The 24530-nt window shown below is 36.4% G+C and overlaps 1 long non-coding RNA gene across 4 annotated transcripts in view, besides 2 other annotated features; it reads left to right on the top strand.

Moving 5' to 3' along the window:
- LOC105375974 (uncharacterized) overlaps nt 1-24530 on the top strand; it is a 248630-nt gene that overhangs the window by 29448 nt on the left and 194652 nt on the right. The gene's annotated exons all lie outside the window — the stretch shown is intronic.
- Nucleotides 1237-1736: an enhancer, noted in NCBI's record as "H3K4me1 hESC enhancer chr9:11471415-11471914 (GRCh37/hg19 assembly coordinates)". NCBI's record gives its function as "activates a minimal SCP1, AML or CMV promoter by ChIP-STARR-seq in primed H9 embryonic stem cells {active_cell/tissue: H9 hESC(primed)}" and the evidence as "EXISTENCE:reporter gene assay evidence [ECO:0000049][PMID:30033119]".
- Nucleotides 1737-2238: an enhancer, noted in NCBI's record as "H3K4me1 hESC enhancer chr9:11470913-11471414 (GRCh37/hg19 assembly coordinates)". NCBI's record gives its function as "activates a minimal SCP1, AML or CMV promoter by ChIP-STARR-seq in primed H9 embryonic stem cells {active_cell/tissue: H9 hESC(primed)}" and the evidence as "EXISTENCE:reporter gene assay evidence [ECO:0000049][PMID:30033119]".

Below are 24530 nucleotides of genomic sequence, written 5' to 3'. Positions count from 1 at the left end.
GCTTCTTCTGCTTCTGCTTCTGCTTTTGCTTCTGCTTCTCCTCCTCCTCCTCCTTCTCCTCTTCCTTCTCCTTCTTTCTAATCTAGCACTAAAATTTATTTTAAAAACTGATTAAAATTTTTTGTCTATTTGATTGCTTTGCTACAATTGTCAAAAATTATTTATCCATATACAGGTTAGTATCTAAAGTCTATTCATTTACATTGAGCTATTTACCAATTATGTTGCCAATACTACACTGTCTGTCTTAATTACTATAGTGTGTTTTATGTCAAGCAGGGTTAGTTCTCAAACTTTATTTTTTTCTTTTGCAAGATTACTTAGGTAATTCATGGTCCTTTGCCCTTTCAAATAAATTTTAACATTTGTACATTTTTATAAAAAACAATGATAAGATTCTACTGACTTTATTTGTTAATTTGAAAAAACTTACCCATTAGAACTATTGAATTATCTAGTCCATCAATATGGTGTCATGAGATCCTTGGGGTGTCACTTTGCCAGCTGGAAACCTCTGTGGCTGGCAGTGCCTTCTGTCTGAGTATTGGTCACTCATACTGGACTCATTCCACTCACCTGGCCCAGCAGGCTGCACTCAGAAGTGCTACCAGCCCAGATCCCACACCTGCCAGGAGCGAACCAAGTGCAGAGAGGCAAGGTTTGTATGGGCAAGTGAGCATGCTGTCCAGCCACTGTGCACAGCTAGGCACACCACCTGCTGTGGATGGGGTAGGCAGCTCCAGGTGCCAGTATATGTGCCAGATCCTTGCAAGGCTGTGGCTGGACTAGATGTACTGCATGCAACTTCCATTGTGGGCGCCTGTGTTTCAACCAGGGGAATGCAGTGGCACCTAGAAGCTTGGGGACACCAGGAACCGCAGAGCCCCAAAGAGGGTGTCATAGCCCTGGATCGGGGAGCCCCTAGGTCTGGGCTTCCTGAAGGGCCACAGTTCTTCTGTCCTTCTCATTGCCCACAACATGGTCATCATGGTAAGTGGGGGGTGGGGGATGTTTCAGCTTTGCTTGCGATACAGCTCTTTGCCTGTGATACAGGACCACCATTCGGCAGGTCCTGAGTTCTTGCCCTGTATCAAGGAAGAATGAGGTATGTGGACGACTGGAGGGTGATCAAGGCGGAGAGGCGCTTCTTTGAGACACAGAGGAGCTCCCAAGAGGCACGAAGTGGGTAGCTACTTTCCACAGTCAGGTTGTCCCAGTGAGCATCCAGCCCTCCGCTGAGAGGAGACCACCAGGGGGTAGCTTCTTTCTGCAGGCAGATTGTCCCCACGAGTCAAGGAGACCTGAAATTAGTAGCTTCTTCCTGAAGCTGGTAGTCCCAAAGTCTGTGTGTCTGGCTGAGCCCAGGTTTTTACGGGCTCAGAAGGGAGGAAGTACGTTCTGATTAGTCCACGGGGGCCATGGGTGCGCCTGGAGAAAGCACCATATGTTCTCACTCTGGGCCACAGACTCCACCCAGAACTGGCAGGCTGGTTCCCAGGCTTCGTGTCTTCCCTGGCTTGAAGGTGCGGTTTCACTGGCGACCTGACCCTTTGTGCACAAGAGTCTGTCTGCCTCCTGCCACCATCACCAAGTCGTCCATAGCACCCAGGCTGTTTGTGCCAACGGGCACCTGCAGGCCCATCCCGCACCACCCTCAGCCCCACTTCAACCTCCCTCCAATGCTTGTTTGTCCCCAAAGTCCGGAAGGGGTCAAGGTGGCAGGGGGCTGGTAAGTCAATACCCCCCTGAGCATGCGCACACCTGGCTGGTTCACAACAGCAAGTGAGCTCAGCCACAGCTTTGCTCTGCCCTGGAGTGGGCGCTGGGAGCTAGGAGAGGCCAGGCAGCAGTAGCAAGCACTTCCAAATCTGCAGCGAAAGGGGAATTCCTGGGCCCCTGAGAGTGCAGGGATGCCCAGTTCCAGTTGCCCTGGCAGCTGCAGCTGTGCACAGAACCTTGGGGCTCCTGCCCCAGTTATTAAGTAGGGGGTGGAGCTTTCATCTTTTCCTGGCTTCTGCCGCCCTGCAGAGCGTACAGCCACAATCACACCTCCCTGCTGCAGCCAGCATCTTTGCAGCTGCCACTCCAGATAGGCTGCTACCGCCAGCAGTGATGCATCTCCCCACTTATTCAACTTTTGTTTAATTTTTCTTTGTAATGTTTTGTTGCTTTTAGGTTAGAAATCTTGAACATTTTATGTGGCATACACTGCTAAGGATTTGATATTTTGTAATTCTATTGAAAGGGATTCTTATAGATTTTTAAATATTTTGTTGATGTTATATATGAAATTAATTTTAATGACTTTATACCCTGCAACATTTCTAAATTTAATATTAACTTTACTAGTTGTTTGAAGATCCTTTATGATTTTCTGCATACAAAATTATGGCGCTATAAATAAAGATAGTTTTGCCTTTTCCTTTCTAAAGTATGTGACTATTATTACTTTTCTTTTTTTTTTTTTTCTTCAACTTCTAAGTTCAGGGATACATGTGCAGGATGCGCAGGTTTGTTACATAAGTAAACATACGACATGGTGGTTTGCTGCATAGGTCATCCCATCATTTAGGTATTAAGCTCAGCATGCATTAGCTACTTTTCCTGATCCTGTCCCTCCCCTAACCCCTCCTCTGCAGGCCCCAGTGTGTGTAGTTTGCCACCAAGTACCCATGTGTTCTCATCATTCAGCTCCCACTTACAAGTGAGAAGACGTTGTGTTTGGTTTTCTGTTCCTGGGTAACTTTGCTGAGGATAATGGCTTCCAGCTCCATCCATGTTCCTGCAAAGGACATGATCTCATTCTTTTTTATGGCTGCATAGTATTCCATGGTGTATAGGTACCACATTTTCTTTATCCAGTCTATAATTGATGGGCATTTGTGTTGATTATGTGTCTTCACTGTTGTGAATAGTGTTATTTACTTTTCATTCCCGATTGTACTGAAACTTCCAGTACATTAATAACTAGAAATGGAAAAATGGGCATATTTATTTTATTCCCAATGTGTGGTGAAAAGCACTCAACATTGTATTATTAGATATGATATTAGATGTATAGTTTTCATAGATGCACTTTATCAGTTTGAGAAAGTTTCCTTCCATTCCTAAGTTGCTGAGGTTCTTTTGAAGTCATAAACAGGAATTGCATTTGTTAAAATGATTTTTAAAATATCTCTTGAAATAAATACAGCATGGTATTTTGCTCACTCAGCTAATTCACTGAAATATATGTATTCATTTTCACATGCTAACACACCTTGCATTACTGTGATAAATTCAACGTAATCACAATATATTCTCTTTGATATTATATTTATATATTTTATTTGATGTTCCTGCACTTGATTAACATATTGCAATAGGTTCTTGCATCTATGTTCAGAAGGGATAATTATCTGTAATTCTCTTCCTATATAATGTTTTTGTCCTTTTTTTTTTTTTTTGGTGCCAAGAGGTATACTAGTCTCATAAAATAAGGTGGCAATTATTCATGCATTCTCTATTTCCTGAAATAGTTTTTGTGTGAATTATGTATTTTTTTTCTTATAAGTTTGACATAATTCAGCAGTAAAGCCATCAGAACCTGGACACTTCTTACTGGGAAGTTGCATAGTTACAAATCGAATTCATACAGTGGGTTCGGGCCATTTATGTGTTTTTAATAGACTTTATTTTAGAATAGCTATATATAGAGAAAGATAAAAAGAAATGGAGTAGATAGTACAGAGGGTTCCTAAATACTCTGGAACATGGTTTCCCATCTTATTACCCTCTTACCTTAGTATGGCACATTTGCTAAAATTAATGAACCAATATTGATACATTATTTTTAGCTTAAGTCTATACTTTATCCAGATTTCCTTAGTTTTTACCTAATGTCCTTTTTTTCCCCAAGATCTTATCTACAATATTACACTTCATTAGTTATATTTCCTTTGGTACCCCATGGCTGTAACAATTTCACAGATTTCCTTGTCTTTGATGACCTTGACAATTTTGAAACATGTTGGGCAGTTGTATTGTAGAATAACTCATTATTGAATTGTATCTGATTTTTTTTCTCATGAATAAACTGGTATTATGTATTTGGGGGAGGAAGATTATAGAAGTAAAACGCCATTTTATTACATTATATTAAAGTCACATGCTATCAACATAATTTATCATTGATACTGACTTTGATTACTTGGCTTGAGATAGTACTTTTCAGATTTCTCCATTGTAAAAGCTCCCTTTTTTTCCACTTTCTATAATGTAGTCTTTTGAAGGAAATCACCATGAACAACCTGCATTTAAGAAGCAGTGAATTATGATTACTCTTCTTGAGTATAGTACATCTGCATGAATTATTTAAAATCCTCCATGGAATATTTGTTTATTATCCTACATTTTTAAATCAATCTTATCATTTTTATATCAGTGTGGATTCATAGTTATTTATTTTATGCATTGGGTTATAATCCAACACTACTTAATTTATGTTGTTGCTCAAATTGTTTTTTATTTGTGAGAAGAAAAACCAAAATATTTGATGGCTTTGTATTGCAAAATTATTAAGGGCTAACCTTTAAACACTTTGTTGGAAAAGAAAAAAAATAGTAAATGTGGCTCTAAATGAGACAGAGAACACCTTGTGCAAATGATTTACTCTAATAAGTAATACAACACCAGGCATCAAGAGGTTAAGTTTAATCAGTAATGCCTTCTCGTATAATAATCAGAATTTGGCTAAGCATTTTTTTTTTTTTAAGATGTAGTTTTGGTCTTGTCGCCCAGGCTGGAGTGCAATGGTGTGATCTCAGCTCACTGCCACCTCCACCTCCTGGGTTCAAGTGATTCTCCTGCCTCAGCCTCCTGAGTAGCTGGGATTACAGGTGGCCACCACCATGCCCAGCTAACTTTTTTTGTATTTTTAGTAGAGACGTTGTTTCGCCATGTTGGCCAGGCTGGCCTCGAACTCCTGACCTCAGGTAATCTACCCGCTTCAGCCTCCCAAAGTGCTGGCATTACAGGTGTGAGCTACCACGCTCGGCCTAAGCACATTTTTTAAAGTGAATATATACTAGGTAGAAAATACACTTGAAAATAGAAGGAGGAAAGCAATTGCCTCTACTCTGCCAAAATCATCTTCCAACATAAAAAATCAACTTAAAAGACTGATTTAAGATAATGCCTGACCCTTTGAACTAAGAATTACATCAATGTAGGCTTTTTTGGATGGCTGAAATAAACACCAATATGGAAAAGAATAGTACTCTTAATCTGAACTGTTTTACACATTTCTAAAACAAAAAGTTTATTCATTTTGTTTATTCATTAATTATTGGTACAATAATAAAACATGAGGCATAATAGGGGCATGTTTGGCTTTTAACCCAAAAGCATTCTTGACTTGTTGATTATGGACTCAATACAGATAAATTTTATGAAGTTGGATGTAAAAGTCTACAATGCTTAAACGTTCAGGAGTCAATAAAAAACTGACTTAATGTTAAAATATTCTTAGATATTCAATACGACATGGAGTTTTAATGTACACTGTTAAAATAAAAATTTTATTAGCTTAAATGTTTTCTCAATTATCTCTCAGGAGTGATGATAAATCACCCCTATGTACAGTGAGAAGTTAATACAGAAAACAGAAAAATTTTAGAGACTTTCCAAATAACATCATTATATTTAGTAACTAAGGGAAGTAATGTTAATGATTTGGGTTTTGTTTATGTTTTTAATAGTATCAAAGCACAGATTCTAACCACAATCTTGAATTTGAAGAACCACCTACACTATGCCACAATCTTTAAATAATTTCTTAACTACATGAAAGATTATTTCAGATATGACACCAAGAAACAGCTTAATTAGAGTAATTTTTTTGACTTAGAGATTTCCAAACCTAGATGGATTTTCCTTTATCTTTGAGGGAAAAAGTCATTACAAATAGTTACATAAATTCATTCATTTTATAGATTTTATAGATTATATTAATGCCCAAAAATTTTTAGTGAATTCTCCACAGCTTTCAGAGCAGCACAACCAAAGTGAAAGCTCAAGAAGCTTTCCTTACACTTTCTCTTTGCTATTTAAATATAAAATAGACATTTTAAACAATTGGGGTATTTACACATTTTTAAAATTTGATTGTAATAATAGAAACATTTTAAAGTTATCACAAGTATTCAAAGTCAATTGTATCTGAAAATTATCCAAACTGTTCTTCAGTTATCACAGACTTAGAATCATCAGCCATGTGTGTGTATAAACATATGTATAGAAATATATTAATCATTTGGTGATATATAAATATACATATTAGCCTGAAGGTATTATTTCATAAAATTGTGCATATTTCTTTCTAATACAGTATGATTTTTAATAATAAAAATATTAATTTCTTCAAAGCTACATTAAAACAAGATTTTCAATGATATTTATAAAAGTTTATTAATTCTCTTTTATAATTTAGAGGGAAGTTACTCAATGTACATCAAGAAAATGTTAAGTGGAATCACTAAGTCTTGTGTAACAGAACTTATTACCAATTCTGGATCTATACCACTTCAGGATATAATAAAAAGGAAAAAAATCTGGAATTTAGATTCCACAGACTTTGTTAATTCTCTGTTAATAACACACCATTAATTCTCTATTAATGACACAATATCCTTAGCATCATGCACTTATAAACATTACCTAATAACACTCTTACATAACTTAATTTTAGATGAATGCCTAAAGATTTTTTGAAGAATGTAGGTAGATGCTAATTATTATTATACCTAGAAACTTTCATATACTCAAAGGACATAAGAATCTTTAAAAAATATTAAAAAGTCATGACTAATAGAATTGTATTTCTCAAAATTATATAGGGAAATGATATCAGTCATTTCTATTAATGCATTTCTGTCTTTCTCTTTTAATCACATTTTCTTTTGTATGTATCTATTCTCTTTCACTTCTTGAAAGGAAAAATGTACAACAGTGCATTCTGACAGATCTAATCCTTTAATCAAATTTTCTAAAAGCTTGGGTAATGTTTAGAATTTTATATTTTTATCTGATTTTAGAGAGGTGCTTTACATTAGTTGTCTAGAGAGTTCTGAATCTCTCTTTAATAATTCAAAAGTAATGCTGAAACATCAAGGCAGAAGAACAAACATTTGTCATCCAACCAGATAAAGTTGAAGAGATCTTTCCACATCATTTATAGGAATTAATAGGCATGCATTGTAATAGTTAAGTTGAAAATGTATGACATTTATTTTTCTAGCAATGGAAATTTTGGGTGTGGAAAATATCAGTTTCCTAAATGATAGGTTATTTTAATAAAAGCTTATAATACTTTGATATCCCAAAGAGATAAATACAAAACCACCATTAATAAATTGTTTGTATTATGGTAAAATGAATACTGATTTCCTTTTTATTATCTTCCCATTGAAACCAGACATGACTAAGAAATAATTTTACTACCAATTTGGTTTGGCCTGGTCATATATTTTGAGTTTCCTTGGGAAGTATACAAAACATTTATTCATTTTTACTTCCAAATCAATAATACTTTTCTAGATCTTGAAACTGACCTTGCTTAATCGAGGTTATGACCATCAACCCAACACTTAAACACAACTATCAGTATCTCAGGTGTAAGAAAGCAGAAAAAAAGGTGAATTTCTCAGGATACCTTGCAACTAGCATACTGATTCAACAATGAAAATCATTTTGACATATTGAGATATTGACATTTTGAGATATTAGCATATATGGCATCTTTTTGCTGCTCTTGCTGATAATGAGTAAAGTAATAGAGATGTATATGTAGCTAGATTCTACAGTCCAGTGTTCAAACAACAGAGCATCATACTGGTTAAAAACAAGTAAATAAAAAGATATCCTGAATTCATAGATTAAAATAATTATTATTGTTAAAATGTCCATATTACCCAAAGCAATCTACAGATTCAATAAAACCATTATCAAAATTCCAATCCCATTATTCAGATAAATAGAAAAAAAAATCTCCAAATTCCTATAGAACAACAAAATACCTCAAAGAGCCATAGCAATCTTAAGAAAGTAGAACAAAGCTGAAGTCATTGGAGTCCCTGATTTGAAGCTATTTTACAAAGCTACAGTAATCAAAACAGTATGGTCTTGATATAAAAACGAACACATAGGCCAATGGAACAGAATAGAAATCAGCAAGAATACACAATGGGGGAAGGATAGTTTCTTTAATAAATTTTGTTGAGGAAACTGAATATCCACATGCAAAAGAATGGAATCAGACCCCTGTCTTCACCATATACGGACAATAACTCCAAATGGTTTAAAGGCTTACATGTGAGAACTGAAACTGTAAAACTCATAGAAGAAAACATAAGAGAAAAGCTCCTTGACAAGAGTCTTTGCAATGATTTTTTAAAATATAACCCCAAATCACTGGCAACATAAGCAAAAATAAACAAATGAGACTATATCAATTCAAAAGATTTCTGCACAGCAAAGGAAACAAATAACAAAATAAAAAGACAGCCTATGGAATGAGAGAAACTATCGCAAATCATAGGTCTGAGGGGCTAATATCCAAAATGTATAAGGTACTCACAACTCAGTAACAAATAAAGAAATAAACTGATTTAAAAATAGACAAAGGACCTAAATAGACATTTTTCAGTGAAGACATATGAATGGCCAACAAGTCTATGAAAAAGTACTTAATATAATCATGAGAGAAATGCAAATCAAAGCCTCAGTAAATTATCCCTTCACTTCCATTAGGATGGCTATTATCAAAATATGATGAATGTTAGCGAGAGTGTAAAGGAAAGGGAACCCTTGTACACTGTTAATGGAAATGTAAATTGGTACAACCATTATGGAAAACAGCATGGAGACTACTCAAAAAAATAAAAATAGAACTACCATATAATCCAGCAATCTCGCTTCTGGATATATATTTAAAGGAAATGAAATCAGTATGTCAGAGAGATATTTGCACCCTCATGTTTATTGCAGCATTATTCTCAATAACCAAGATATGGAAACAACCTAAATGTTAATCCATGGATGAATGTATGAAGATAATATAGTGCGTACGTACTCACAAACACACACACAAAAACACACACACACATATGAATATTATTCACACATAAAAAGAAGGAAATCCTACCATTTGCAACAAAATAGATGAGCCTAGAGGACATTATACTAAGGGAAACAAGCCAAATATGGAAAGACAGGTACTTTATCATCTCACTTACACATGGAATGAAAACCAAAGAAGTTGACCCATAGAAGCAGAGAGTAAAATGATGGTTGCCAGGGATTTTGGAGTAGGGAAAATGAAGAGCAGAGATCTTGGTCAAAGGGTACAAATGTTCAGTTAAGAGATGAATAAGTTCTAGAGATTTAATGTATAGCATAGTTAATATATTTAATAATACTGTATTGTTCATTTGGAATTTGATAAAAGAACAGATTTTTAAGTGCTTTTACCCCACTCTCACACACATAAAATAACTGTAAGTGGTGATAAATTTGTAATTACTTCGATTGTGGCAATCTTTACAAAATGTATACATACATCAAATCATTTTATTGTACACCTTGAATACATGCAATTTTTATTTTTAAATTATATATTTTAAATACAAAATGATGTTTGTTATTTTTATTTTTATTAGCCACCCCTTTTTTGTGTGTGAAATATAACTGGAGGAATTCTTGCTATAGAAAAAGCAAGAGTAACTTTCTTATCTCTCAATGGTAGTTAGTGTTAGTTCTTGAAATCTACTGTCAAGTTTTAGCTGCACTTACTTCCAATCCTCTGGTTGTTCCAAAAAAGTTTAAGCACACAATTCCATCTATTAATCTACTTTTCAATTAAAATATTTATTCTAAACTCTGACAAAGTATACTGTTAATAAACCTTGATAGTATAAATGTGTCATTATATGACTATGTCTAAAGTAACAACCTCCTCCCTGTTTGTAGTAAAAGAACAGCAAACACACCTTCATCTTATTGAATGATTAGAAAAATTAATGAAACAACAGTTGTATAATCTTCAAATTATAATTAGGAAATTAACTCATATATAAATTGTGAATGTGATAATTTTTAATTTTTGAGTCTCGTTTGATGTTAAAAAAAACTGAAATGTCCAAAGGATGTGTCGAACCCCTTTCTCCTTTGCCCATGTATGCCTCAGGAGTCAGAAAGAATAAGTAACAAATATTTAAGCCTCATTTGAGGTTCAGATGGCCATGTGACTCTGCTTGTATCAATGAGGCTTACAGACAAATTAGCATGTCTACTAACAAAATTATGCAAAATGAATTTCTAATTTTAAAAAGTTATAAAACATAAAAACAGATAACTATGCAAAGGTAAATAATCAAGATGATGTTGTTTTCTAAAAGACAAATAAAAAAATCTGAAGTTTTATTTATACAAGTAGGAATATTTCAAGTTGAGGTGCCATTTTGTAGGAGATTCTTAAATGACTGACTTCAGTGCTTTCCCTGTTGAGGCACTTGTGATAGCTTTAATACCTGTATTTGGCAGCATTAACTGAAGGGGAACTTTTACATCAAATCTATAAATATAATAAAGGATTACTTTGGAAAAACTAAACTCACTAACAGAATATAAATATTTTGCCTGTAACATTTGATGTAGTAGAATTATATCTATTTTCACATACAATCTATTTACTCATTTAGCATACTATTTATATTGTTACAAAGTAGATAATTTTGTTTTTAATGCTATTTCTTAGGACTCAACTACATTTCAGCCATTCAGTGTGAACATAAGTCATAGTCCACATGGAATTATTCTAAACAAATCACTTTCTTTTTTTTTTTTTTTTTTTTTTTGAGATAGGTTTTCACTCAGTCACACATGGTGGAGTGCAATGGCGCAGTCAGGGCTCACTGCAGCCTTTATCTCCCAGTCCCAAGTGATCCTCCCACCTTAGCCTCCCAAGTAGCTGGGACTACAGGCACACACCACCATGCCTAGCTAATTTTTGTAGAGATGGGGTTTCATCATGTTGTCTTGACTGGTCTGCAGCTGGTAGGCTCAAGCAATCCACCCACCTAGGCCTCCCAAAGAATTGGGATGACAGGCATGAGTTCAATGTTGTTATACTAATTGCACTGATAACTCAGTTACTCACTCTTTCATTCCTCAATATTTTCTTCCTAGAATATCGATTTATTTTATTTTATTTTTTACTGCTTTCATTTTATTTTTGCTATTCCCTTATTACTGCTACTACTACTAATAATAATAACAGTAACACTTAACCAAAGTTTATTGCCCATTGCTTTGCTCTGGACCTATTCCTGCATTGGGAGACTTTTTTTTTTTTTTTTTTTTTGAGATGGAGTCCTGCTCTGTCGCCCAGGCTGGAGTGCAGTGGTGCGATCTCGGGTCACTGCAAGCTCCGCCTCCCGAGTTCACGCCATTCTCCTGCCTCAGCCTCCCGAGTAGCTGGGACTACAGGCGCCCGCCGCCATGCCCGGCTAATTTTTTTGTATTTTTAGTAGAGACGGGGTTTCACCGTGTTAGCTAGGATGGTCTCGATCTCCTGACGTCGAGATCAGCCCGCTTCAGCCTCCCAAAATACTGGGATTACAGGCGTGAGCCACTGCGCCCGGCCAAGAAACATTTTTATAAACTTTGTATTACTTTTTAGGTGGGACTAATTTTATCTTGTTGGATAAATCCTATACGATGGTAGATCAAACATGCTTTTTGTTCATTGTTTTCTTTCAACCAAAATCTTTTTTCTCCCACCCTCTGCCATTTCATTGACTAAAGATAATGAACACCTATTATTGACAAAATAGCACCTTTCATAAATATGTACAGAAGTTACAATCCTATGCCCTGAACTTCCCGTTGAAATGTCTCAAATTTTTAAAAATATTTCTTCTTTCTTTAAAATAAAATTTAAATGTTGTTTAAAAGCAGTAGGATACAAGGTATAAAAGATTGCAAAGATACTGAGGTAAGGATAACAATTCCAGCCTATATAGTTAAGTGAGTGGCCTTGAGCAAGTCATTTTACATATATAAGTCCCAGTTGTCTCATCCCTAAATAGGGATCATAATAAACACCTTTATGGAATGGGTTGAGTAAGGTAGCAAATGTACATGAAGCAAAAGACTGGGATTGAGTAGCCACATAGGGTCTCTGTGTATGAAAATTATATATTGTTGTACATCAAGTATCGATTACACACACATACAAAAGTCCATTTATTTATTTTGGTCTCTTTGTTAGTTTTGTTTGCTGATGATGTTGATGATAATTTGTGAAAAATTCAACAATGATTGATAATAATAATGGTATAACTAAACTGTAGTTCTAAATGACAATTCTAATTGAAGAAATACTTTTACCATTTATTTAGGTAAAAAGCTAATAGATAAGAAAGCAGTTTTCTTATATATCACTTTAGAATGTGTTAGTGTCTATTAGAAGGGATTGAGGAAAATGAAGCTGGCTCTGTTTCTAAGTATACAACTATCTATTAGTAAGTTTTAGAAGTAAATTCTCAATATTATTCATAGGTTAGATAGCCTTGGAATCAACATGGTGCCAATGTTGAGGTGAAGATACTGAAAATATCTAAATTTTTAATTGAAAGTGTATAGGTAAACATGTGATGCTACTTTGCCCTTCAAAGTACCATATTATAAATTAAAACAAACAAACAAAGTAAGTCTGCCTTGAAACCAGAACATATAGGCAGTCTTTTCATGAACTATTTGGTTTTCTAAAAAGGATACTAAAAATGACTGCTAGAGCAGAGAAGTTTTTTTCATATGCCTTTTCCTGTCATGGTAATTAATGTGGTCATAAAATATCCATATATTCATGAGGGTACTTTAAAATTTTCGGGCCCTAATTTAGTATAGAAAAAAATAAAATAAAACAAACAAATGGAACAAAAATTATCATGGAAAAACTATAGTTACATATGTATTGAGATCATAATTTTTATACTGTTAAGTGAACACTCTATAAGACCTTTAAACAGAAAGCAGATTTAACTATAAGAAATTTCTTTACTGCCAGACAAGAATGTTACTATTTAATGTTGAATCCTTTTAAAGAGGGTTCCTGATACAAACCTAGAAATACAGGCAAAGGTTGTTTTCACTGTTATTAAATTTTCACTTGCTTCCTTGCTTATAATTTTGTTTGTTCGATCCAGAGCACTAACTCATTACCTCTGAAATCCCTTACACTGCCCTGTACTATCTTGAGAATAGAGGCAAAAAGTGAGGCTTGAGGGCTAATGGAATGCCAACAAATTGTGCCACATTGGCACACAGGGCATTGACCATACTCCTCTGATCTGCTGTTAATCAACACAGCCACCAAAAACTAAAAAGAATGAGCAGGTTCACCATTTTCATTTCTTAAAGACAAAATGGAAAAAGCAACATATGTTCCTGTTCACACTAAAACAAAATTCCTATTTTGGTTATTAATACTGAAAATACTCAGAGTGAGTTAAACCATTAATTATAGTGACAGCATTTATTCTCCCAGTGGCTCATATATGATTAGCCATAACATATGTTGCACTGCTTTAAAAAATCAAAACAAAGGAAGGATCAGTGGAAGAAAAATTAAAATTGTTCTGTAGATTTGAAAAAAAACACACGTGTATTATCTTCATTTGTCTCTTTTACTCCAGACTCTTACCTATTTTGTAATTTGAGAATGCTGAAAAGGTTTGAAAACAGCTTCAATTGCATCTGCTTCAAAACAGAACTCATGTTTTACCTAGTACAATTTTGACATATGCATGCCAAAATTTTTAGCAAAAAATTCAGGAAAAAATAAAGATATTGTGTTCAGGAATTAGTTCAAATCTCAAAGACAGCACATTCATCAAAAAATAATAATTTAAAGAGGAATATTTTGTTTAGGGATGAAGTTTTGTTTCTGTTTTTGAGGGATAATGTTCACTTTGCATTTTTTAAAATACCAACACTCAGTGCATTTAATATGTAATGTAATATATGAATAAATCAGTGTATAGATAATTATTCATATGGAAATTGAGTAGATATGAAAGCAATTTGCAGAATCTTAACCTATAAGAAGTTTACATCAATACCCTGGGCTTCTCCAATTATTATTTTGCTGAATGTCCTTATGAGTTTTGTAAATTGTAAACCAAAGCAGGTCTCAATTGAAAATGACTCCTCATTTTGTGAGACAATTTTATAAAAGGACATTTACAAAGTGAGGAACTATGACAAAATTTAGGAGTGAAGAAATCTTTTGTGTATTTTTATAGGAATTTTGTTGCTCTAAACATATATCCTGCATTACTAATGAGCGAACAATGAGGTTACAGACCTAGTTTGGCAGATTTTAAGTTGCTTCCTTCTGACTCTGCTAATTACATCTGGTGAGTACTGGAACAAAAACTGCTGGGCTAGAAGGCATTGCTGTCAAACAGCCAATCAGGTGTACACAGAGCCAATGGGAGTTCCCTCCCCACCGTCTAGAGCCCTGAGGTGGTTCCAAGCATCTGGTGCCCTACCAGAGCCATGTGTCACATGGCTCAACATACAGAGATTCCCTGCAGTAAGCAGGGCTTCCCTGCAGCTTTCTTGTTTCTGTGCAAAACACCTCTTTCTTATTGAGAAAATGCCACTAAATGTCTGTGACTGCAAAGCTATTGAGAATTGAAGAAGGAGAGAAAACTGCCCTTACTTCCTAGTACCCTGAACTTTGAGCAATGTTAATGGGAGTTATGTGAGCATAAAAGAAATGCAAGGGCAGCAGGATTGCACCCTCAGTGGTTTCCAAAGAGCAGCCCGAGCTGCAAGACACATTACAAGTTCGTTGAGTAGTGTCAGAGGCTATTTCAGGGCTGAATACATTTACCATGTGGCTGTTTCACTTACACCAGCTGTCTCCAAAGTTGCTCTACTACTGTGAACTGAAGATTATTTTTGCTATCAAAAATAATTCTCTTTCACTCAGAAATGAGTCTTGTAATGTGATAGGCTTTTTTTTTCTGGATTTTTGTGCTGTGATGAAAAGAGTATATTTTCTGCTAGTTTTCTTTTTCTTCAAAGACAGAAATGCAGTATGATGCAATAGACTATGTAAGAACTAAAACCAGACGGCCTGCCATTAGTCACGTGTATGTTCTCAGAAAATCACTTGTCTTTTCTGAATCTATTTCCTCACCTTTATACATGAAGTGATATCATGTAACTTTACAAAATAATTTTAAGAGAGATTTGAAACATAAATAAAAGTATTTGTAATTGATAAAATGTTATCTATTGTCATTGTTATAATCATCATCAGTAGCTTAGTCATTTGTTTTTTCAGGTATTTTATAAGAGCACTTCCAAACTAATAACAGCAATAGCAAAGGCAAATTTAGACATTATTTTGTTTTAAGTGTCATTTATATTTATCTGATATTTCCTAAGGAAGTGACTCATAAATTTTGGTTTCTTCCAGGTTTTTGGTTATTTCTTAGCTATTAACATGGAAGAGATTCTTGTAATACCAGACTATATAACTAAATAAACACAAGAATTAAAAAGAAAAAAGGGAAATCAGTATTCTCCTTTATTAATCTCAGTTTACTAGGATAAGAACACATACTTAGCAAATTTTCAAAGTTTCTGGGATTTTACTGCATGGCTCTGATAATTACAAGCATTCCTCTTGCATAAGTACATAGATGAAATGGCCAGAGAATGGATTGTCTTAATCTATCCAGATTTTATCCTCCTGTTGACCACTCTGTTTGACCTCTGCAGTGCAGTGCCTCATTCAACATTCAACAACGGTGCCAAGTAGTCACTCTCCTGATATTGTGGCCACTGTACTAATTGAGGAAGGCTCACAACCTTGTCAACTGATCCAAGTTAAGTCTCTTTTAGTCATGTGGATTTCAAACTCTATCTCATATATCCTAGCTTTTTCTCTTTCTACTTACTGCTAGAAAACCCAAGTATATGCTCTATTGTTAGAAGTCGTTATTCTCAGTAACACAAATTTTTCTCTGAAAATCTTTTCTAAAAACTGCCTCAAATAAAATCCCTCCCTGAGAATCAATACAATGATATTTGTGTCTGTATGGTGGAAAAAACCAGCAAGCATAGATAAAGATACTAATGTAGAAGTAGACATAGATGTGAGACACAGACATAGATGTACAAGTAGACATAGACATACACATAAACAGAGATATAGATATTCCATACTTGTACTATTTGTCTGTTAGATGACTTGCTTCTTTCTCTCTATTCTTTATCATTTTTGGAGAATTCCTGTCATATATGAATATTTCATATATTAAGCTGGTTAGGCAGATCCAAATGCTCAGGTTACTACCCACTCTTCTACTGTTTAGTGTTGTGAATTTGAGGAAGCTACTTGAATTCTCTAAGCCTCAGTTCTCTAATCCTTTAAGTAGAGATCATTTTAAATGATAAATTGAGATAAATAATATTCAAGTGGTACATGGGACAATCATTCAGATGGTAATTTTAGCAGTTGTAGTTGTTACTTTCCTAGTGTTAAGATAATGCCTCTAATGCAGCAGCTGGGGTCAGAGAGACAGCTGCCTCATTGACATTTTGCTATTTTACTGCTTAGTGCTCATGTGTTCCTGCACATGAGTCTATATCTTCACAGGATGATACCATAAGAAAATCAAACACTTTTTATCCATGCTAGTGTTTATAATCCTCAAGTTCTAAACTCTATATTGTATCATCTTTATTATAGAGTTTGTGGATGAAATAATATCAGTTAAGAGTTTTTGAAAAACTTGATTTTGTTAGTAAGTTCTAGATTTGCATTGTTCATTGCTTTGCTTTGATAAATAGAAAATGGCAAATGCCTTTAATTAAGTAAGTAATTAAAATTAAGCAAAAATTGGAGCATAAGAAATACTAATTTTCTTTAGCAACCTCTAGGTTCTTCTTGGATTTCTATCTGCAGAAGTGCAAAATGTAGTAAACAATAATATGACACAGCAAAGGGCATGGATATCTGATTTTTCATTCAAATATATTTTCACAGGTTTTCTTCTCCTTCTCCTCCTCCTCCTCCTTCTTTTTTCTGCTATCATAAAACAAATATTAAGCACAGCCCCTAAATAATCTTTGGCAGTGTATGTCTTGGCAATTTTGATGTAATTATGTTTCATCATTTTCTACTTTCCTGATAAGTAGTAATACATGAATAGCAGAAATGAGGTTCCTACTTTTCAGGGATAGGCAAATGACAACTGAGTAGAAGTAATCGTGTATTATCTTTAGAGATGTGACATATTTGTGTTACTTTTTTGTTTAAATGGATAAAACTGTCACTTGCCTTCTTTCTTCTCAGGAAAGCTTCAAATACAAGCATATCACAGTTGGCATGACCTTTAACTATTAACTCCATATCTATATCTACATCTATGTTTGTTGTTTATTTTTTTCAGCATATGCACATAAATATCATATTGAAGTATGGAGTTAGAATAAAAGTTAAAGTTGACACTAACTGAGATATGCTCAAAAAATTTGTCTCTAAATGAAGTTTTAGTATGTTTTTCATATCTGATATAGCAATTATATGTTAATACTGCTTGTTGCTATTTAGGTTTTCCAGGAGCAGAGGCTGAGATGAAATTTGGCGTGCAGGATATTTATTAGAGATAAACATGTCTAGCCTGCAACTATATTGCAGGGTAATCCTGCAAGAGTTCTGGAGCTTTATAGTTCATCAGAGTGTTATATGTTGGACTGAAATGTCCAAACCTTCATTTCTCTGTATTTATATAACCACCATAATCAGTCATAAAATGGGCTACTCCAGGAAATGAGCACCCGCGGGCAAATTGGCTTTCTAGAGCTGAAGTAAAGGCTGATGTTGTTAACAATTTGAGGATATATGCTGTTAGAGCGGTAATTCCTCCCTCAAAGAGGGGTCTTACTACTAATATCAATGTCCAATACAGTCCACCCTTTTAGCTTGGGTCTACTTCTTTATATCCATTCAGGGTGCAGCTTCTCTAGGATTCCAGTGGACCTCTATGTGGGGGAAACAAGGAAATAGTAAGTCAGTTGAATAACCTACAGCCCTAGTCATTGCAGCATTTCACTGGTCTCAGAATCACAACCAATAATTATTGCCTTAATCAATTGCCATCAATTCTAGATTTTCTTTATCCTCAGCTATCACCTCTGCTAGTCTTAGTGACATTACTAGTGGTAGAAATCAGATTTTTATCCCTGAGGGGCTTGAGTCTCTGATTGCCATGCCTTTCTCAAGTACTTACCCATTTTGTGCTATAATTATTGGTCAAGAGAACGTAGTACATCAATTGAATGTACATATACTTTTCTCTGTCCTCATTGAGTAACAGTAGTCTTACAACCTGGTGATTATTATCAGTTACCACTGCCAAAGTGATGGTTCCTTTGTTTGACTTTTTGTCCTTAGAAAAGGAACTTGCAGTGCTCAGGGGGCCACCTTAATTTTTAAGTCCAATGTGAATTTTGCTGAATTTCCTAGCAGAAGTATGTCAAATGTGCAGACCCGGACCCATAGCACTGCAGAGACAGAATTATAGGGATCCATATATTTTTTAATACACAGCAACATATGAGGATTTTGAGTCAGTGTATATACTACATCCAAAAGATGGTGCCTCTAATTTGTATGGTATCATCTCAAAGCTGACACTTCAACTGCAAATTCAGGAGATCATACTCATAAGCTATCAGGCCAATACAAATGGGTTGTATGGTATTTCATGCAACCAGTAGGTCCCATGTAACTTGACTCACTCTCATACCTCTTTTGCTTGTTCACTTTAAGTTACCTATAGCCAACTATGGACTGTAAATAATAAATGGAAAATTCCAGAAATAAATAATTCATAAGTTTTAAATTGTGCACTGTTCTGAGTAACATAATGAAATTTTGCACCATCCCTTCTTGGATCATCTCTTTGTCCAGCTTATTCAAACAATATATGCTCCCTGCACTATTCCTATGCAATGGAATTGCATAGAATTCCATTCCAGTGGATTAGCCATAAGCTCTCAGACCATGGTGCTGGCTGAGGCCCAGAAGTTGTGGAAACCCAAGCCTTCTGTCATTTCCTACCAGAACAAATATTTGGCCCTACCAGGATCAAAGGGTTCAACTGTATAAGTCTCCATGAAATGGACAGTTGGTCTCCTTGTGGAATAATGCCATATTGGGCATTAAATATTAGTCTCTGTTGCTGCGAGATGGGTTATTCAGTATCAGATGTATTTAAATGACCGTCAGTAAGTTGGAGCTCATGTTACTGGTCCCATAAGTAGCCTCCATCTCTCTCAGTGTGTCCACTCAGCTTATGTTGCTAATGTGCCAATACTTGAAGGGCTAATGACTGAGGCTCCCTGAAACCAATTAGCATATTATATCTTTGTTGAATGCTTTATGCTGTGCATTGATAAAAAGATCATCACACTTTGTGTCCACTCCCTTGTCTGCCCTATGCACATAGTGTGGACAGATTCCAAACTTTCTTTTCCCAGAGTTATGAAAAGTCACACAGGCCACTTGCCACTGCCCATGACATCATATATATTTTAACCTCAGGCCACCTTTCTTTTTTTGCAAACTAGGTTGGCAGATGGAGAGCATAAAGCAGTTCATTTGAAGAATTTTATTTCACCATTGATTTTAAAGGCCATTCCTGAGTAAGGCTATGGTGAAATTGCCATCCATTGTTGGCACATCCTTCAAGAAAGCTTCAGATTTTACCTCCTCCATCACTGGTCAAATAGTCCTTCCTATGCCAGAGGTGGGAGCTGAGAGAGGAGTACTAGTGCAACAGTGGTGGATAACATGTGGATCTGGCCTACATGCTTATGCAACTTGCTTGTGAGCTCTGGTTCTATTCATATCTGATTCCAGAGGTATGACTTTCATATTGTGCTGAGTTGCTGCTGAATATGCCTGAAAAATCATAAAAATTTACACACCTGACAATATCTTCTTGGGATCTTGGGACTCTTTCAGTGGAGTGGTCTCTTGCTATCTCATGACTAGGCACTGTATTAGGCCATTCTCATTCTTTTATAAAGGACTGCCTGAGATTGGGTAATTTATAAAGGAAAGAGGTTTTACTGTCTCACAGCTCTGCATGTCTGCATGTAGGTTTCTCAGGAAAGCTACAATCATGGCAGGAGGGGAAGTAAACACGTAACTTCTTCACATAATGACAGGAAAGAGAAGTGTTGAGCCAAAGAGGGAAAAGCCGCTTATAAAACCATCAGATCTTGAGAGAACTCACTCACTGTCATGAGAATAGCAGCATGGCAGTAACCACTCCCATGATTTAATTACTTCCCGCTGGGTCCCCCCCATGACACATGGGGTTATGGGAACTATAATTCAAGATGAGATTTTGGTGGGAACACAGAGAAACCATATCATTCCAATCCTGGCCCCACCCAAATCTCATGTCATCACATTTCAAAAGAAAATTTTTCCTTCCCAACGGTCCCCCAAAGTCTTAACTAATTCCAGCATTAACCCAAAAGTCCAAGTCTAGGATCTCATCTCAAACAAGGCAAGTCCCTTCTGCCTATGAGCCTGTAAAATCAAAAGCAAGTTAATTACTTCCTAGCTACAATGGGGATACAGGCATTGGGCAAATACACATGCTCCAAATGGGAGAAATTGGTCAAAATGAAAGTGCTGCAGGCCCCACACAAGTCCACAATCCAGCAGGGCAGTCAAATCTTAAAACTCTAAAATGATTTCCCTTGACTCCCTGTCTCACATCCAGGTCATGCTGATGCAAGAGGTGGTTCCCATGGTTTTAGGTAGCTCCACCCCTGTGGCTTTGCAGGGTACAGCCTCCTTCCCAGCTGCCTTCATGGACTGGCATTGAGTGTCTGTGGCTTTTCCAGGTGCATAGTGCAAGCTCTAGCTAGATCTACCATTTTGGGGTCTGAAGGATGGTGGCCCTTTTCTCACAGCTCCACTAGTCAGTGCCCAACTGTGAACTCTGTGTTGGGGCTTCAACTCCACATTTCCCTTATGCACTGCCCTTGCAGAGGTTCTCCATGAGGGCTCTGCCCCTGCAGCAAACTTCTGCCTGGACAGTTCCATACATCCTCTGAAATTTAGGCAGAGGTTCCCAAACTTCAATTCTTGACTTCTCTGTACCCGCATGCTCAGCACCACATGGACACTGCCAAGGCTTGGGGCTTGCACTCTCTGAAGCCACAGCCCAAAGTGTACCTAGGCCCCTTCTAGCCACTGGCTGGATGCAGGCCACCAAGTCTCAAGACTGCACAAGGAAGCAAGGCCCTGGGTCTGGCCCATGCAACCATTTTTCCCTGCTAGGCCTCTGGGCCTGTTGTGGGAGGTGCTGCCATGAAGACCTGTGACATGGCCTGGAAACATTTTTTACATTGTCTTGGCAATTAACATTTGGCTTCTCATTATTCATGCAGATTTCTACAACTGGCTTAAATTTCGCCACAGAAAATGGGTTTTTCTTTTCTATAACATCATCAGGCTGCAAATTTTCTAAACTTTTATGCCCTGTATCCCTTTTAAACACAAGTTCAAATTCCAAACTATATCTTTGTGAATACATAAAACTGAATGCTTTTAACAGCACCCAAGTCACATCTTGAATGCTTTGCTGCTTAGAAATGTCTTCTGTCAGATGCACTAAATCATGTCTCTCATGTACAAAGTTCCACAGATCTCTGGGGCAGGGGCAAAATGCCACCACTCTCTTTGCTAAAACATGGCAAGTCATCTTTATTTCAGTTCCCAACAAGTTCCTCATCTCCATCTGAGACCGCCTCAGCCTGGATTTCAGAGTCCATATAACTATCAGCATTTTGTTCAAAGCCATTCAACAAGTCTCCAGGAATGTCCAAACATTCCCCAATTTTCCTGTCTTCTTCTGAGCCCTCCAACTGTTCCAACCCCTGCCTGTTACCCAGGTCCAAAGTTGCTTCCACATTGTTTAATATCTTTACAGCAGTGCCCCAATACCCAGTACCAATTTACTGCATTAGTCCATTCTCACACTGCTATAAAGGAGTACCCAAGACCTAGTAAATTATAAAGGAAAGAAGTTTAATTAACTCAAAGTTCCACATGGCTGGGGCGGCCTCAGGAAACTCACAATTATGGCAGAAGGGAAAGCAAACATGTCCTTTTTCACATAATTGTAGAAAAGAGAAGTGCCAAGCAAAAGGGGAAAAAGCCCCTTATAAAACCATCAGATCTCATCAGAACTCACTCACTATAATGAGAACAGCAGCATGAGGGTAATCTCCCCCATGATTCAATTATCTCCCACCAGGTCCTTCCCACAACAAGTGGGGATTATGGGAACTATATTCAATATGAGATTTGGGTGCGGACACAGCTAAACCATATCAGGCAACTATGTCTCCAGCAGAGCATGCTAGAAATTGTTTCTCAAAAGGCCTATAATACTTTGTTGCAGGTAGCATGGCCTTACTCTAAAACCCCAGAAGCCTTTGTTGTGATTATTTCACAAGCACTTTCCATGAGTTCCACAAGATATTTAATCCTGGCAGTACTGCTACCTCTAATATCACAGGGTCTATGAGAACATATATGGATATGCTGCAGAGCTCTTTCCTATTTTGGGCCCACTTCACACTAGTAGAGTTTTGTGTCACATAGTGTACTACCCTGGACAGTATTACCCAGTGTAGAAGTTTCTGCTCTCAAACCTGAAGAGGCCTAACAGTTAATACATTTTCTTAATCACGACTGGAGCTACAACCTGCCATTGTTTGTCCTTTACTTTGGGATGGATGTTCTAGCATGCTAATGATCACTAAATTCCTAAAAAATGTACGGATGTTGAAGGCTCCTGAATCTTTGTGGGATCTATCATTTATTGCAATGCATGTATCTTAGCAAAACCTACAGTGAACTAGCCACTTGTTTGCTCATCTGACCCAATTAGTCTGTTGAATGAAATGAAGATTACCACTTCTGCATATTTTAGATCCTTGAGAACAGAGCTATTTTTTTTCATTCCCTTGGAGTATAATATTACTTTTAAATTATTACTTTTAAATTATTACTTTGGCTGAAATAAGGGGTAGTGCCAATGGATGCTGCTATAAGCTTAATGTTTTGGCCTTCCCATCCTCAAATTCCTGTGTTACAATTCTAGCTTGCAAATATGACGGTATTAGGAAGAAAGGCCTTTGGGATGTAATTAGGTCATGAAGATGAAGCCCTCTTAAGGGAATTGATGCCCTTACTAGAAGAAAAGAGGGAGACAGACATAATGATGCATCAAGTCAACATGTATCAACGTCAATGTTTTAACTAACATTCTTCAATAAGTTTGGATATTCCTTCATTCACCAGCGTACATTCATCTAAATAAATAACTATAGGAAACTTTGGGGACACATTTGTAGAATTATTACTATTGAAGTCTTTTCCCCGGTATTGCAGAATTCTTCCTCCAGGAGACCCAGCAAAATCTTCAGTCAATAGGTTCTAGGTATGAAAACTGGCAAGATTTGGGGGACTTTTGTTTTTGCTTTTGGGGGATTAACTTCCCTAGCTACCTCATATTTCATCCCTGATTTTGTTTTGATAGTGTCCTTATTGGCTGCCCATTTACTTTTTCCCCTAGGGGCATTAAGTTTATTATCCCATCTCTATAACTTTCCATAGAGAAAATTATAGTCCTTATCTGCAATTTAAACATGCTGCTAATATTAAATTTCAGTCCATCTATCTTCTGACAGGTAAACATTGCATTTTGCCATTATTGTTTTGGGATCCTATTATCCCCATTCTTGTCAGCTAATCTAATTCTGTAATGGTTACTTCCACTGAGGAATGAGAGTCACCATTGACTTCTGAGTTATGATTAACACCCTTCTCACCAGCATGTTTCTTGGGGTTTCAATAAATCATGCATTATCTAGGCCATATCATGGATGTAATGCTGTGATGTATCTCCCACTGTGTCTTTTAGTCCTTTGCTAACCCATCAACCATGGAACTTCTGGCATTTTCGCTGCACATAAATGGTCTAGACTTTTGTCCATATTTCTAAGAGAATTTGGGGAGTCCTTAGCAGGCAGTTAAATCCTACAACTTAAGATAGTGATTTTAATCAATAATCTCTCCCTTATGCTGATTTATTTGCCCCATCTCCCTCGATCAAACTTCCTCAGAACCCAATCTGTACATACTCCTCCACTCTATGCTGGTACATGCTAATTAGGACCTACACCTTCATTGGGGTACAGGCTCGTTCTTTCTTTATCAGTCTCAGCATGTTCTCAACAGGGCTATGATAAACTTAATCATAGTATTAGGTCTAGTAGCCAGAAGCAGAGGTGGCGGCAGATCCTAAGGAGATATGTGTTTTCTTACGGGGGAGAGCCTTCCTTATTGTCTTCAATAAGTTAGAGTGATAGTGCTT

Source organism: Homo sapiens, chromosome 9 (assembly GCF_000001405.40).
Source record: "Homo sapiens chromosome 9, GRCh38.p14 Primary Assembly".
NCBI lineage: Eukaryota > Metazoa > Chordata > Mammalia > Primates > Hominidae > Homo > Homo sapiens.
This window is presented reverse-complemented; position numbering and strand designations above follow the sequence as displayed.